The 17,444-nt window shown below is 37.1% G+C and overlaps 1 protein-coding gene across 25 annotated transcripts in view; it reads right to left on the reverse strand.

The window, feature by feature from the left end:
- LRRC4C (leucine rich repeat containing 4C) overlaps positions 1 to 17,444 on the reverse strand; it is a 1,345,454-nt gene that overhangs the window by 15,012 nt on the left and 1,312,998 nt on the right. For 10 of the 25 annotated variants that reach the window (NR_047673.1, XM_017018073.3, XM_017018070.3 and 7 more), the window contains one exon: positions 11,591 to 11,643. The exons of 7 other annotated variants lie outside the window; for them this stretch is intronic. The gene's annotated coding sequence lies outside the window, so the exon portion shown is untranslated. Of the gene's footprint in view, positions 1 to 11,275; positions 11,342 to 11,590; positions 11,644 to 17,444 lie in introns of all 25 variants that reach the window. 8 more of the 25 variants (XM_047427349.1, XM_017018071.3, XM_011520239.4 and 5 more) reach the window with 2 other exon arrangements.

Consider the following 17,444-nt stretch of genomic DNA (forward strand, 5'->3'; position numbering starts at 1 on the left):
CTAGTAGAACCCCATTCACATAGCAGGAATTTCATTGATTTTTGGAATAATGTTTTCCAGTTTGTAGTTATTTTCATAGAAGTTTCTCCTACAAAGAGCTGAGAAGAACAGTGATTTAAAGATCATCTCACTGTCTCTTTGCATGTTTTTTTGAGGGGGATGGGGTAGGTGATAAAGTCGGGGAGATTTCCCTATTTCTTTTTCTCTGTCTATTATTATCAGTAGCAGCCCTGTTTTATGTTTGACCAAACAATGCCCTCTGCTGTATGTGCCTAAAATAACATGATTGCCTTGAAAATTTCTGCCTAAGAGGATGCCTAGTTGTTTTCATGATTTGCTTCTTCCCACCTACATGTACTCCAGAACTAGGGAGGACTGGATTAGCTTTCAGGTCACTGCATTGGATCAGAACACTTTATAACAGAGAAGAGAATTCCTAGAGTCAGCAAATGACTTTAAAATGGAGGGGCTTCTTGACCACCACATGCCTGCTACAGAGACTCATTTGAACCATTTATTTAAAAATCCATGGGTGGAAAAGATCTTCTAATTCTACTATCACAATCTAAAGCAACAAGATAGAATAGGCAAGGGACTGGGGAAGGCTATGGCGGCTCCAAACCTTGTCTTAGCAACAAAAAGTCAAATCTACTTCATGCTAAAAAATCCGACCCAGGGATAGAGTCACAGCTTGGCAGGGCTAAAAATAAAAATAATTTGTTTTTTTTCCTGCCTGTTTACACTCTCATGATGCTGGAGAGATAAGTGTACCTGGCATGAGGTTTCTGGCTGTTTATGAATCCTTTCGATCTTATTCACTTTTTGATATTAATTATTTAAGAAAATGTAAAATATAGATGACCAACTTGTTTCTCAAATTATAGGGTGGAATTTGAGGTGTTTGGGGGTATGTTTATGTTTTTGACAGCAATTTGCTTTAGTGAAATGTATAACCAGAGAAAAATATTTAAAATCTCGAGCTCCATGTACTGCTAGATATTTCACTCTCCAGGTAATGAAATCAGAATGCTCCAATGATTAGAAATATGCCTGTTTGTAACAATGCCTACATTCTCCTTTGTGCTAATATTTTAAGTCTGGAGCCCCACAATGCATGAAACTGTTGCTTCTTTTTTTCTTCCTGTTTTTTTTCTTTTTTCTTCAAGTTCAAGGGCCATTTAATGATTAATACATGTTATTCCTTATCTCCACAAGTGGTCTTTTCTTTTCATATTTTTCCCATAGGAGATTTTCAAAGCAACATTTTGCAGACTTAGTGTAACAACACATGGGAGCCTAGACAATCACAGTGCAAGAAAGCATAGCCCATCAATAGTTCCCCAGTGCCTACAGAATTAAGCCTAAATCCCTTACTGCCTCTACCCACTAGATGCCAGTAGCAACCTCAGTTGTGACAATCTACAGTGTCTCCAGACACTGCCAAATGTCCCCTGGGGGGCAAAACTGTCCTCTTTGAAAACCACTGCCTTTGTGTGACATGTAAGCCCCTCCATAGTGCTGTGCCATTCTGCTTTCCCAGTTGTATCTCCCACTGTTCTTAATACAGTCTAGGCTGCAGTGTGTTCCGACTCTAAAAATACTCCCTCTACTTTTCCTCTTTGGGGACTTGCTCCTTCTTACTTTAGATTGAAATTACCTACTCTGATTTTTTTTTAAATCAAAATTGTACCCAGTCAGAGCCAATTTTACAATGGCTCTTTCTACTAGGCTGTCATCAGCCTTATTGATCAGTATAAATCCATCCTTTCCCTAAATTGTCCGTAAAGCCAAGACTATAACACTTACCAAATCCACGTTTGCATGTAAATGTTTGGGAATGTGTTCAACCTATTTCTTCATAAGTTTTCTCAAAGACAGAAACTGGTTGATATTTAGGCATTCAATAAATATTAGCTGAATTGAATTACGGAAATGTGTCACATATTTTAATTCATAGTCAGCAGCCAAATTGATAAACTAATTTTATAAAAACATAATGTATTGAAGTCCATTGCTAAGACTTATATGTGAACCAAAAAGATAGAAAAGGTATAAAACTTAGTTTAAATGGCAAAGAGAGGGCTCAATAATTACTCCTTGTCACCCTCCATATAAACAAATGAAAATTTATATATTAAGATTGTGAAGAAGTAAATTACCAAAAATCAGCATGTAAATAGGGGATTGAAAATGACGGTTTAGGGTAAAAATCTATCCTTAGCAGCAGTAACCTGTATCCTAAATATTACATCCAGAGTATCTTGTATATTATGTATGCTCAATATAGGAATAAATATGTGGCCTCAAGAAAAGGTTGATTGTTGCAGATTTCTAGCTGCTTACACAACTAAGCAGACACTAATAGTACATAGAGACTTAAAAATCAGAGACACAAATTTTTGTAGTACCCTTCCGTGAAACTGCCTGGGGATTGAGTGTTGTGATTTTGGACTCTATTATTGTGAGGATAAATGAGTTAATATAGAAAGCTTTAGAACAGTGTCTTGTACATAATCAATACTGTAGGAATATTTGTTATTGTCTTCATTGTTTCCATTATTCGTCTAGCACTGATGACAGTTAAAGTCCGTATATGGAGAATGGTTGATGCGTCAACTATAATAATATAACACTAAAACAATTTGAATCATACAATTAAGTTCTCTTAGTTTTATTTTTCATCAATATCCGTATTTGATTATTATTTCCTTTTCCATGAAATTGTACAGTACCATCATGGGTTCCTAAGAAGTTTATTAATGGGTTTCAAATCATTTATGAACCTCCTGAAAGTATACGCCAATTTTTGTTTAAATGTGATTATATATTTTTATAGAAAGATTATTCATTAGTCTTAACATCATACTCTCAAAGAGATTTATGGCTGCAAAAAAGTTTAAGTTCCATACAAAATAATTGATAGACTGAAGTGCTTGAAAGGTCTGTTAGAGTTCTAGCTATAAATTAGCGAATTGACATTCTGCTCTATATATCAATTTCTTACGTGTTTAGCAAGTACATTTACAACCTTCTCATAATGAGCTACCAAAATCAAATTTCTGAGAGTGAAAACCCAGGTCTTGAGTAAATTCCTCAAAACAAATGCCCGTTGGGAAGGGTCTTGGGAGGTAGTCTACCCTGGTAACAGCAATCTTTGCCAAACAACTTAAACACCAGTACACTGGTGACATTTTGTCACTCCACGTCATTTCTTTAAGGAATTTGTGGCAATGTATGAATCAGGATGCAGAATGATAAAATAAGGTCCTGTGCTCCCTCAATAGAGCAGAAATGGGACCTTCTCTGTTCCAGAATTTTCTTTCATTTTGCTATAGTTTATTCCTCAAAGGAAAATGTAGTAATGCATTAACTAATGCATTGATGTTTATCTCTTAGGGTGTTTTGGGTGACCATGCCTGATGCGAAAGGAGAAAACACTGTACTTATGAATATTAGTGGAAAAACAACCATATAAAAGAAATAAATAAAAAATAATATTCTATTAAAACAAACATAACCAAAACCCCAATAAGGATCCTCCCTCAATAAACAAATCTAGTGTTGGAGAGAGGGTAAACTGCAGAAACTGGTCATATGTTTTAGCTTCTCGGGATGCACAATAGGCTGATTTGCTCTAGGCTTTCAGTTTGAAAAATATAGGGGAGAGAAAAGCGTATAAAAAGGGCTGAGTATTTCAAATTATGTTTAATCAAAATATGTAGAAAATTATTTTCCATATATATTTTGTTTTCATCTAGGTTAATGACAAAGCAAGTAACTAAAGAAGTGCTTTTGAAAAAAGATCTAAGAAGACTATCTGAAACGTAAGTCCTTGGCAAGGCAGTCAGAGAAGGATGTGATTTCAGTAAGTTGGTAATGCGGTTAATAGCCTTGCTTCCCAGGCTTCCTTTGGATTGATGACTGGCTGGGAGGAGTTGATAGTCATTAACCCCCAACTTCTCATTAATCCTTCGAAAATGCTCTGTGCTAAGGTCACCAATGCCTTTATAGGTTGAAAACAAACAAACCAACAATATACCCAGAAGGTGTATGGATTTTTATAATGAGCAATGCAATTTAAATTACCATGCAAGGCAATCCGAAGAGAACAAATATCATGTATATAGAGTCATTCAGATTTTAAAATCACCTCCCAACGTTTTACCAAGTACTTACTTCCTTGTTCATTATTAAATAGTACAAAACCCTAATTTCCTAGAGAGTAACCAAAAACATATTTATAACCCCAGGCGAAGCACTAAAGATGTCTGGGATTTATTTTATAGTAGAGTGCGGGGAAAGATAATCTCTAAAGTCATTTCAGCTATAATAATATATGATTCTAAGTATATTCTCTAACGCTATACCTACCAGGGAACTCCAATTCAGTAACTTGCCATCATTGATCATTTGTAACAGGGTACTGAGACAAGCCCAGTATAAACAATAGTCATAAACCATTGCCAACATGCTCCACTGAGGGAGTGTGTATGATTGCGTAGATCCTTGTAAGTAGTCTGGGTGTTCAGAGAGAACCAGTGAGGCTTGAGCAATCAGTGAAAGGTATGTGGACAGTGGATCTAGGGGATATGTAGATTTGAATAAGCAAAAGGTCTAGCATTTTAAGAGAGAAAAAAAAACAGGCACTTTCCTTCAATAATATTTTTTGAGTGCCTACCAAATTTCAAGCACAATGCTCATTTCTTGACACTTAGGGCCAAGTGTATCTCATCAAGAATCTCACAGTGCAGTATGATTCACAGGTGAGTAAGCCAGGAATTATAATGCAGCAGAAAATCCTAGAGAAATTCTATTCTCTATTCTTTAGAATGAGGTATTATAGCAGCACACAATAAGGAACATACACTAACAGAGCAGAAAGAGAGAAAAAACGGAAAGAACCAGGCGTGGTGGCACATGCCTGTAGTCCCAGCTACTTGGGAGGCTGAAGCAGAAGGTTCACTTGAGCCCAGGAATCTGAGCCCAGCCTGTGCAACATAGCAAGACACTATCTCTAAACAATAATCATCATCATCAAGAAAAGAGAAAGAGTTTATTTGAAAACAGGCACAAGTTGGGTAGGGAATATATGAAAGTAAACATGACATAGGCAGTGGAGTAGTAAGTAGAATAAATGAAATAACACCAGAATATACAAAATAGACAAGGAATTTAGATTTGATATTAACTCATGGATAGATTGTAGGGACTTGATTTTTCTTTCTGACATGTGATCAGAAATAGAAAGGTAATGGAGATATAAGCAAAACTCTAAGATGAATGGTTTGGAAACTACTGTCCACAGGCAAAACTGGAAGGGAAAAGGACAGTGGGAAGAGTATTTAAGGAAAAGCAAGTCTGCAGTGGTATGGAATATGAATAGGACAGAGTGAAATAGATTATTTCAATAATCAAGCTATAAAATAATGATGGCCTGGGTTAGGCTCTGACTTTTACCTAAAATATAAGCTGAAGTAACATTATGATTTATCTATCTCTGCTCTGGAATCCTTAATATGTGATACTCTTAATATATATTTACCAGATCCCATGATTCCTGACCTGTCATTGCTTCCTCTGATTTCTGTATATTTTTTAGTCCCTACAACTTTGGAGTAAGTCCTGCAAATCTAGTGGCTCCCACTGAATATCTCAGACCCACTGCTTTCCAGTTTTCAGCATGACTTAAGAGTTTAATAAATTCACCAAAATGACCCACAAAAACCTGATAAGGAAACTCTCTTTAATTGAGTCTGTGTTTATGAGATCTGAGCAAGGGGAGGAAACAGAGTAGACTCTTTCTGTGATTTCCAGGCAACGTCATTTAATCAGAATGCAGATAGCAGGGATGGCCTCCTAATTGGAAATAGAAACTGGTTTAAAGTAACCTCAACACTGTTAACATTGTATAATGAGGAAACCTTGGTGATGACATGTCAGATAATGGAAATGACTGGAATCAGTGATTTTTTTGTTTCTTCCTAATGACTGCAAAATAGGGAATTATTCAGCAAATGCAGACATTTGAAAATTAGATTCACAGTTATTTATTTACTTAAGGCAGTCCTCATTTTGCTCCATGCTGTGTTAACCATAGGTTGTGAATATTGGAACCAAGTTTTCTTTTTTGCACAATTCCTATATTTGCTCTTAGTTACCATGGAATCTTGCAAAACTAGGATTCAATTCCAAAATGAATGAGCTTCAGTTAACACAGTCCCATGGAAAGTAAAAACTCCCTGTATTTTTCTGTATTCACTTTGCCTGCAATGCATCATTTGCAAAAATATTTCATGGGAAAAAATAGAGCTGTACATGAAAAGCAATAAGGAGCTGGGTCCTTATGGTATCATAATGGGATAAGAAAGTAGGGAAGCCTGTGCATGCTCCTATTTAAACCATTATTAACTATGTTTCCTTGATTTGGATGGTTAAAATTACTTTTTAGTTACTTTTCCCACCATGTCTTTATTCTTGAAAGGATGCATTTTTAAAAGAATAATCTGAAAAAGCACGGGGCTGACAGTCCGATTCTAATATGGATATTAGAGACGTTGGGTGATAATAATGCAAGTTACTTAAACTTTCCATACCCATCTGTAAAGTGAGGACAGAATGTTCTTTCTATGCCAAAGGCATACCGCAAAAATAAACTTTAATAAGAAATCAGTGTGTACAAAGTACAATCCACAAAATTAGGTTAAATTATGATATAGGTGTCATTCCTGCATTCCTCAATCCCATTTTTTAAGCTGCACCTGACATGTGAGCAGAACTAGAAGAGGGCTGGAGATGTAAGCAAAACTCTAAGATGAATGGTTTGGAAATTACTGCCCATAGGCAAAATCGGGCTCACCACGCCAGTTTTTGTAAGTAAAGTTTTGTTAGTAGACTTCCACACCCATGCATGTAAGCGTTGTCTGTGGCTGCTTTTACACTGAAGGGCAGAACTGAGTGGTTGTGATAAACTGTATGGCTTGCAAAGCCTAAAATATTTACCACCTGGTCTCCTAAAAAAAAAAAAGGCTACTACAGCATCCATCCAGAGACTTTTCTTTTTTCTTTTTCTTTTTGATATGGAGTCTTCGCTCTGTCGCCCAGGCTGGAGTGCAGTGGCGCGATCTCGGCTCACTGCAAGCTCTGCCTCCTGGGTTCACGCCATTCTCCTGCCTCAGCCTCCCGAGTAGCTGGGACTACAGGCACCTGCCACCATGCCCGGCTACTTTTTTTTTTTTTTTTGTATTTTTAGTAGAGACCAGGTTTCACCATGTTAGCCAGGAGGGTCTCGATCTCCTGACCTCGTGACCCGCCCACCTCGGCCTCCCAAAGTGCTGGGATTACAGGTGTGAGCCACCACGCCCGGCCCATCCAGAGAGACTTTTCTTACCTACTCGCTTCAATCCCAAGGCTACCAAGATGACCTGTGAAGGCATGGAAGAAAAATACTAAAACTTCTATTTGTAATTAACTTTATTCTAAGAACAAGTAAAGAAATTCAGTTTCACTAATTTTGCAATGTTGCCATGCATCATATAACTTATGGAGGAATCCTGGGGAAAAGTGGGAGTTCCAGAACAGAGGGCTTGCCTGTAGCACCATTACTTGATCACACTTTCAGTACACTGTGACATATTGCTATTTCTGTGTGGTGGGATAATTGGCTTTAGAGATTATATTACTTAGTTTTAACTGAATTAGCACTCACAAAATGGACACAGTAGCTTAAGATTCTTCCAAAGATAACATGGAATCAATATTCTTTTTGTTTTGTTTTTGATTTTGCTTTTGCTGAGACTCAGTATTCTAATAATAAGGCAAGTATAAGCATATAACAACAAAAAAAGTTAGAGCTATCATTTTTATCTCCAATATGAGCTCTTTGAAACAACAAAATTATCACTTAAAGAAGTTTATTTTGATTAAACCTGTACACCTATGTATGCACGTGGGCACGTGTGTGTGTGTGTGTGTGTGTGTGTGTATGTGAGAATAGGAACTATCACTTTTACCAGTAATCTTGTCCTATCAGACTCTTGTCCTAGCTGCACTCTCACACTTTCTCTTCCTAGTAACCTAGTAATGAATTCACCACGTGTCAATCAACATCTCTGATTGATACCTGGATTTTTATTTTTATTTTTTTGCTTTTTCTCTTCACCTCACCCCTTTTCTCCAGCCAGCAACACTAGGCATATTGCTGCACAAAGTCATTGCCTCATTTATCCCTGAAATTGAGAATTACATTTCCACATGTCCCTTCAGATCCAAGAAGAATGACCTGGAAACAGGATTGCAAGAGACTACCCACTACCCTCTCCTTGCCTCCTTTCCTTCTTCTTGACCAAAAGTGTCTTCCTCTCACATTCATTAGAAAGAGGAGTTAATATCTATTGGGTTTTTGCCTTAAAAGCTATGAATATAGGATCCAAATTAAGAACAATGGAATTGGAAATTTTAATTATAAAAAGGACCCTGGGGAATTAGGTAAAACCTCAGCTTCCTCATTCACTATATTAAAGATCTCTCCTTTTTCCTAACCTATAAAATGTGTGTGGTAGCATCTGTCTTTCCTTTCTCATTGTTATCAGGATAACTTGGGATAGTTTATGAATTGTAAGATCATTTTAAACTATAAGTATTAGATAGACTTTGGGGATCAATAATTTTTAAACTTTGAATTCATACAAAACCAAAACAAATCAGAAAAGTGAGGGGAGGAAAGGAGACCAAGAGACCAAAAAACACGGTATGCTTTCCATGACAGGCACTAACTTACATACGCAGTTTTATTTAATTCTCACAACAACCCCATGAAGAACATTAGGATCCAGATGCTCTGTAAGTTTGTCACTTAACCCAAATCACACAATTAGTACTGTCCAAATCCACCTCCTTTTAGCCACTGTACTGTGTAGACATATCTTCTGCTAGCTACGTAAATTTGGATGTGACATTTTTTCTTTTTTTTTTTTTTAGAGATGGAGTCTTGCTCTGCCACTCAGGCTAGAGTGCAATGGTGCAATCATAGCTCACTGTAACCTTGAACTTCTGGGCTCAAGTAAACCTTCTACCTCAGCCTCCCTTCAGAGTAGCTGGACTATAGGTGCATGCTACCACACATGGCTGCTTTTAAAATTTTTTATAGAGATGGGGTCTTGCTATGTTGTCCAGGCTGAATGAGATATTCTCTTGACAACTTGTTTTCCTCATTTCTAAAGGGATGAAGACTAACACTACTACTATGATGTACTAGCTGTAGTATCACATCTAATCCTAACCAAACCTCATGGCTTAGAAGTGCTCCTATCAATTTTGTCTTTGAGCAACCAAGACAAAGCATTTAAGTACCATGTTTAAGGCTTTACAGCCACTCTGTGGTGGGGCCTGAACTTGAACTGCCAGCTCCGGATTCATTTTCCTTCCACATGCTATCTGGCAGTGAATTTTGTAGGGTTAACTAGAAAACATAAGTAAAAGTAATAGCAAAATATATGTTGCACAGTAGGTACTCAATATATAGTATATTTTATCTTTCCTAAGGAAATTCTTACTTTCTCTTGGAATGGGATCAGCACAGTGTTTTTATTCTCTGGGAGGAAAATAAGGACTCAGGAGAAATATCATTCTGGGTTGAATAAATAAAGAGCAAGCCACAGCTGGATATGAATGTGGATTATGATACACAGAATACAAACTTTCAAGTGACAGCCAAGAGTTCCTTCTTACCAACATGTGCTATCTTAGTAAATTTCACTCCCAATTCTTTCATTTTTGAAGAAAAACATTTCCAGCTAATAACACAATTACACTTAAGTATTAGAGCCCATTTGAGTATTATTGCATTTGTTAAATCTAACTAAGTCCAAATTACTTCCTCATTGCTAACAAGAGAAAGAGAGGGAGGAAGAAGAGGAGGCGGCGAGAACTGAGGGGAAAAGAGTTTCGGAGGGTTAAAGGAAGAAAAGAAGACACATACACAGAGTGCTAGAGAGAAAAACAGTGAGCTATCAATGCTGCATATAGCCTCAAGTCCAATAAATGTCAGTTAAACTTGCTGCTCACAGTTTCTATGGAAACCCCTTAAGTTAGGAGTGGAACACAGACATTTTTTGGACTGCAATTCACAAGCTGTTTATTTAATTATGATGAAACATGAGACTGTTAGGGACAATACTATCATCATACTGATAGCATTTAGGATTCAACAAATAGGTATGGCAAAATAAAAAGTTGATTTCTTTTTTAAATCATTAACTTCATGTGCATTGCATGTGAATAAAATGCATCTTTTTTTTGTTTGTTTATTTTATGGGACTTCACACATTATTTCCTTCAGGCGAACCCCAAATTAGTCAAATGACATTCATTAAAAGGGACTTCTTCAGAGGCCTCATGCCAATTATACCCCCACATGCCCAGTGAACAAAACCAAGGTCACAGCATATTTTCAATTAAACCCAAGACAGCACCAAAGTGCAGCACAGCTGGAAAAACAAGCACATTATTGCCCCATAGATCATTTGTGAGCAATGAATAGGTCTCTGGTGCTTTTCTGTTTTATAGGCATTTGAATATAAAAACAAAGAAAATAGCTTCAGATTAGCTTTTGCCTTCCAAAATAAACAACTACTTTTAGGGCATTACCCCTGGGGGTCCGAAGAAACATGATGTGAAGCCATCACTGTTCTGTCTCTGATGGTTGAAAATCACTTGCTTGGGTATTAATTTGGCTGCAGGAAACCGTCTAATTGATGGGCTCATTTATACCTTTGTTCTTTCACTAGACAAACATGTAGTTTTCCACCTACTGTGTGTCAGGCACTGTACCAGGGACAAGGGAGAGAAGAAGGTTAAACCCCAGTTCCTGCCTTAATAATAAAGTTTTTGGAAGGAAGTGCATTAATTTTGTCAATTATTTATAAAGGGCCAACTACAGCTCATAGGTGCCAAGTAGGTAAGATTAGAATCCTGCCTTCAAGGAGATTACAATTTAATGATGATACAATAAATCATAGAGCAAAGAGTCAGTGTTCCTGCCTCCTGCTGCCTCCTCATCTTTTCTCTCTGCAGGTAGAACTACCACTCATGGAAACAGTGCTACAGAAGGTAAATACGTTTATGTGTATGCGATGGTTTGCTGGTGGATGGTGGTGTAAAGAGGGAGCTTCAGAAATATTGCCATGGGAGAACCACATTTCCAGTTCTGTCCATGAGCCACCAATACTCTTATAAAATATTTAGCCCATAAAATATGACTGAATGAGGAGGCACTCACAAGATAAGTGAATCCCAAGGTAAGTCATCTCTCGAGTCAAGCAGGGAACATGAGGCTGTTTCTAAACTGGCAAAGAGAAACACAAGAAATTTGCAAATATGACTCAGTGGATATGTCTTTTCTACTATATTGCGGCTTATTTTTTGAAATTCAGTAGTGGTTTTCAGTAGCTGGACTTCCCACAAATTGCTCGTGCTAGCAAAACCAGTCATTGCCGTTATCAGGTTTGACAGTGTATAACGAGTCACTTCACATTAGCTGCAGTTGTAGTGTTCAGCATACTGTGGGAAAGATTTAGTATGAATCATCACCCACCTAGCTCTCCACTGGGGGTCTCTATGCTGTAAGTAGGCAGTGCGTTTGCCAATCTAAAAAAAAAAAAAAAAGAAAAGAAAAGAAAAAAAAGCATCCATTAGAATAATTCAGGACAATTCTTGATCTGCCACCACCACAACCACCAACCACAGACACCACTGATGACATTTATTGAATTGCCACTGTATTTTAACACTATCCTGGGCAGAAAGCCAAAGCAACTCTCTTAACTACTGGCCATTTTGAACAATGCATTTTTTAATGCCAATAAAAATGCATTTGGACTTACAAGAAATGTAGTCTTATTAGATACATGACCTTAAGTAAGTCACATTTTCTCTGTGATCTAGTGTCCTGATCAGAACCACATCATAAGATTAAATTGGATAATGCATTATAATGATGGATAGGAAAGGGTTAAATAGAAAACTCAATTATTAAAGTCAAATGGGATGTTAAGAATCTGACATAGGCATCTGCTGCAAATTCTATTTGGGATTGCCCACCACCAACACCACATCCCCAAACAAGAAAGATATAAAATCTTTCCTCTCTCTACACATCTCTCATCTCACCCCACTACTCCTGTGGCACTGACAGAATAAAAATCATAATCTGAGACTGAGGGCCATGTACAGTACTTAAAGCAAAGAGATCCTAAGAGAGAGAGCTCACATTTTACAAAGTATAATGAAGTAAAAGAAACTTGCTGTAATTCCAACAAATACAGGTCTTCCAACCTTGGAAATATAGTTGGTACAGACTGTACAAAGAGGAAACCCAGAGGAACTGCAGATAGAAAGATCCCTCACAATTAGTAATCAAGATCAAGGGACTGACATGGATATTAAAATCACCAAGAAGCCTATCAAGAGTAAGTATGGAGAGAACAACAGGGAGGCAGATGTTAAAATCTTCAAGGGACAAGGAGGAGTGAAGCACAGGGCTATGGCTGACTCCAACAAGAAGTTGTTAGCAGGTGGTATAATCTGATGGTGTAAGCTTCACAGATGGGCATTTTACTGTATTAGATGATTTTGTCTGGAACAGACAATGTAAATAAAAGTGCTTTTCAAATGTCATAGCAATATATCACTAATGAATGTTATTATTATGCAAGTAAAACTGAATATGATCAAAATGTATTTTAAAGATGATCTGTGGATTTTCTGTCCATAGGTTTAAATAAATGGATAACTCAGCCAGGCGGAGTGGCTCACACCTGTAATCCCAGCACTCTCGGAGGCCGAGGTGGGTGGATCACCTGATGTCAGGAGTTCAAGACCAGCCTGGCAAACATGGCGAAACCCTGTCTCCACTAAAAATACAAAAATTAGCCAGCATGGTGGTGCACGCCTGTAGTCCCAGCTACTTGGGAGGCTGAGGCAGAATTGCTTGGACTTGGTAGGTAGAGGTGGCAGTGAGCCAAGATCATGCCACTGCACTCCAGTCGGGTGACACAGTGAGATTCTGTCTCAAAAAAAAAAAAAAAAAAAAAAAAAAACCTCGATTTTATAAAATGTTTTCCCAAATCTCATGGTTTCAAGAAGTATTAACTACCCTTCAGTAGGATATATGAAATATGAATCGGAATTTAATGTGCTTGGGATTTATAACTTTAGAGCAAGGCTGTAGGTAACAATTAGTGTGTGTAGAGAGGCAAAGAAAAGGTGGGAGGTGAAAACATGTTTATTGCTAAATCAAATAGCCGGTTCTCAATTTTCATATTAGGCAAAAATTATTAATGTTTGACATAATGATCACTCTGTCCTTTATGAAACACCTTTTGCACTTGGCTCCTACAAAACGACTCCCTTGCTTCTCCTCTTGCCTCAGTGATAACTCTACTCAACATCCATTGCTGGTTGTGTCTTGTCTCACAGGCCAATGAACCTTGGAGTGCCCCAGGTCTCAAATCAGTGGACCTCTTATTTATCTATACTCACTCTCTAGGTGGTCGTATAATGCTTTTAAACACCATCTATAAACTGAAGACTGCCAAACTTAAATCTCCAGCAGGCTTGCAGACTTGTATATACTACTGCTTTTTCAAGACCTCCACTTGGAGGCTTCAAAAATCAACCTGTCTACAGTCAAACTCTTCATTTTGATTTAACCCGACAAAGACTTTTTCTAATGGCAGTTGCATTCATTCATTCATACAACTATATATTTTAAGCTCTTACTGTGTGCCAAGCACCATTTCAGGAATGATTTTTCTAGTGCTCAGGCCAAAATCTACCTTGAAACGTTTTTTTGGTCTCATACCCTCTCTTTTTGGATTGTATCACCTCTACATCTTATCACCTTTATATCCTATCACCCATGCATTGGAAATTCTGTGTATCAGTATTCTGTTTTTTTCTCCAAACACATCTATTGCTATGTCTTGGTCCAATTTCTATCTGGATAATTGGAGTATTCCATAGCCTGGTCCAATATCTGGTTTTCCTGCTTCTAATTTCTCCACATAGTGGAGGGATCCTATTTGAATTAAAGTCAGATCATGTTCCTTCTCAATGCTCAATGGCTTCTCGCAACACTCAGAGTAATATTAAAGTCCTAATGGCCAGTCATAATTTTTTTTTCCTGCATCTCTCCCGCTTCTTTGATCTCATTTTCCTACAACAATCGTTCATATTCACTCTGCTCTGACTACCACACTGGCTCCTTATTGTTTCTCCTGCACACCAAACATAGTGCTTTCTCAGGGGCCTTGCACATGCTGTTCCTCTGCCTGGAATGCCCTTCACCCAGACAGACCTATACCTACACCTGCACTCCATGACAACAGTGCCACCTTTCATGCAAATACCTGTATACTTTGCTTCTTTACTTCCTTCAGGGCTCTGCTAAACCTGCTCAGAGAGGTCTTCCCTGGTTATGTTGCTTAAAACATAACCATCCTTGTTCTCATAATTCTCTGTCCCCTTATTCTGTTTTATTTCGCTTGATAAAACATCTCAAAACTAGAGATAACATGTACATATTTGTTTTCTGTCTCCTCCAACTAGAATATGAGTTCCCAGGATATGGAGTTTATATGATTTGTTTATTGATGAATCTCCAAAAGTAGCCCCATTTTATAGGTGAGGAAACTAAAGCTCAGAGAGATCAGTGCCTTCCTTGAGGGCTTTTCTGGAGAAAATGGAGATTACTAAGTAGGAAGGAGAGAATAAACATGGGGGTGGTAACGATAGCTAGATCAGAGCTGTAAAAGGTATAGCAGTTAAGTTCATAAATTCTATCATCAGAGATAGTCATTTTGTGGCTTGTGGGAAGTTATATAATTTTTTTAGGTTTCAATTTCCTCATCTGTAAAATTAAGGTGATAATAATAGAGTCAACTTCAAAAGGTTGTTCTAAACTTGAAATGAGATGATACCCATAAACCAACAAGCCTGGCATGTCATACATTCTCTAATAATGGAAACGATAATTATCTGAGAGTTAATTTCTTTGAATTATATGTATTTTTCTAAATTCTCCTTCATTAAAAAAATGCTGAACATAACTATCCATCTGCTACCAGCAGACCCTTCATTCATTGTTTATTGAGCACTGTTCGAAACACTTACAAATGGCTAAACAACTCATCTACTTTTCTAAAATGATGATTTAAGGCCAAATGTGGTACTTGTCCCCAGATGTATTATTAAGCCTGGACTTGGGAAAATATAAAACAAGGTGATAATCCTCCTTGATCTTTTACATAGCACTTTGTTGAAAGGTCTTGTTGAAAACAAGACTGGCAATAAGAAAGATGATGATGAAGATTGTATCTTTTGTTAATACTATAAATTATAATTTGAAAAATTGTTTCATGTGTATTACCCTATCTGACCCTCAACAAATATAGGAGGAAGGCGAATGAGATTATAATTTTTCATTTTGCAGTTAAGAAAGTTAAAGTATAAGAAAGTTAAATAATGTGATTAAGGTTTAATAAAAGCCCTAATATGTGATGAGTTAATAGAAGAAATCAAATATTTGAAGCCGTAGGCTAGTGATCTCCCTATTACATGGTCTTTTAACACAAGGTAAACAGGAGGTATTTTCTGCAATGAATCCTTCCAGGTTGTTTACATTTATAGAGACTCACTCTTCTGTGTTCCTTTAACACATTGCACTTCTATGTCCAATGTGAGAAGAAGGGAAAGAACATTTGTTGGGCAACTATCAACCAGTGTGCTAGTTTTCCAACTCGTACTTGCTTGCTTATGTGTCTTTCTGCCTCATTAGACTGCATGCCCCCTGGGACAGCCAACATATTCCATTCCATGGGCATGCATACACCCCAGTAACTGCTGTGTAATATGTGTTCAATAAATGTTTCTTGAATAAGATAATGAAATAGCTTATTTGGTGAAATAAACTTATATATAGAAAAAAGCAACTAAAGCATATCCCAAAATTTAAACTATATAATCAATTAGCATGATTACAGAGAATCTCATCAAATTGTCACCTCCTAGGTCAAAAACTGGTGACTATCAACAGTTTTATATTGTTCAAAACAATAGTTTCCAAAGAGAAATAATGATTTTAGAAGTGCCCAGTTGGCCAATCAAATTTCTAGGATCTATGGAAATCCTTTTCAGCTTAGGTCTAGTTACATAAACTTTTATGTCTCAACCAATGGGAAAAAAAGCCAATACTTTTATTTCAATGTAACCTCAAATATTCAATTTGTGAAAGGGTAATTAAAATTAAAACCGGAATAGTTCATTCAGTTACAGAGTTATAAAGGGACCTTATCTATTGATTACCTATACCAGGATCTACAAGCTAGAGCAGAGAAGTCATCCATTTGCCTTACCATAGCTTAAAATCCAGTCATGCTGCCATTTGTACATTACAGAAAGATAAAGTGTCCATACTGTTTTCTCTAATATAGCAGTTTAAATATTACCACTTCTCAACAGTTCTCACTTACTCCTTTCTCACTTAACTTGCTCACAGAAAAAATTAACCACTTTATTATTTTTTTCTATAGTGTTTGCTTCATTATAATATTTATCAGTATAAGGACCAGGACAATATTCTTTTAATCAGTGCGTTGTCACTGCAAAGCTCTATGCTGGGCATATACCAGGAAATGAATTGTTTAAATTAAATGCATATCTGTAGACATAGATGAAATTATAAATGCTACCAAATCATCCTCTGGCTGCTAGAAGTACCCTAGTTTAATAGGAGAGAGCAAGGTATATGGGGTAGAAGATGGTATATATAAAATGTCCTTGATTTTTAAGTAACAGCACCTGATTGACCTCTTGCTCTAACTGATCTGACTCTCCAGTCTGAAAGGACACATGATAGCTGTGCTCTCCTTAAATGTGGCATTTATCTTCATGAGTGTAGTGATGAAGGATGGATCAGGACTGGAACAGTCATCAGTGACTTATCCCATCTTTTTTCACAAGTGAAGATAAATGACACAAAATATCAGCCACTGTGCATTATATATATTTATTCCACATTTGTGCCCACAGACACAAACACACTATAGACCTTTTCCTCAACCTGATTGTTTGTCATTTTCAAAATATACACCTAACAATAACAATAGCAAACCTAGGGGAAAGTCAGAGAGAGTGAAAAATGCTGAAATACCTTCTATGAGACAAGTTATACCCGCTGAGGGGATGCCTCAACAGACCCTATCTATAGGAACTCTAAAATGGCTATAAGCCTTAAAATACAATTTCCACATGTCTCTGACTGTTGTCATTAAGCTAACTTAGAAAATAGTCACAAAGAGCCCCCAAGGATGCTGCATAAGGACACTCTCCAACCTGTAGAAAATCACAAAGATGGTGTTCCTGACGGAATGGCTTCTAAGACCTTCCAG

This window comes from Homo sapiens, chromosome 11 (genome assembly GCF_000001405.40).
Source record: "Homo sapiens chromosome 11, GRCh38.p14 Primary Assembly".
NCBI classification, from domain to species: Eukaryota; Metazoa; Chordata; class Mammalia; order Primates; family Hominidae; genus Homo; species Homo sapiens.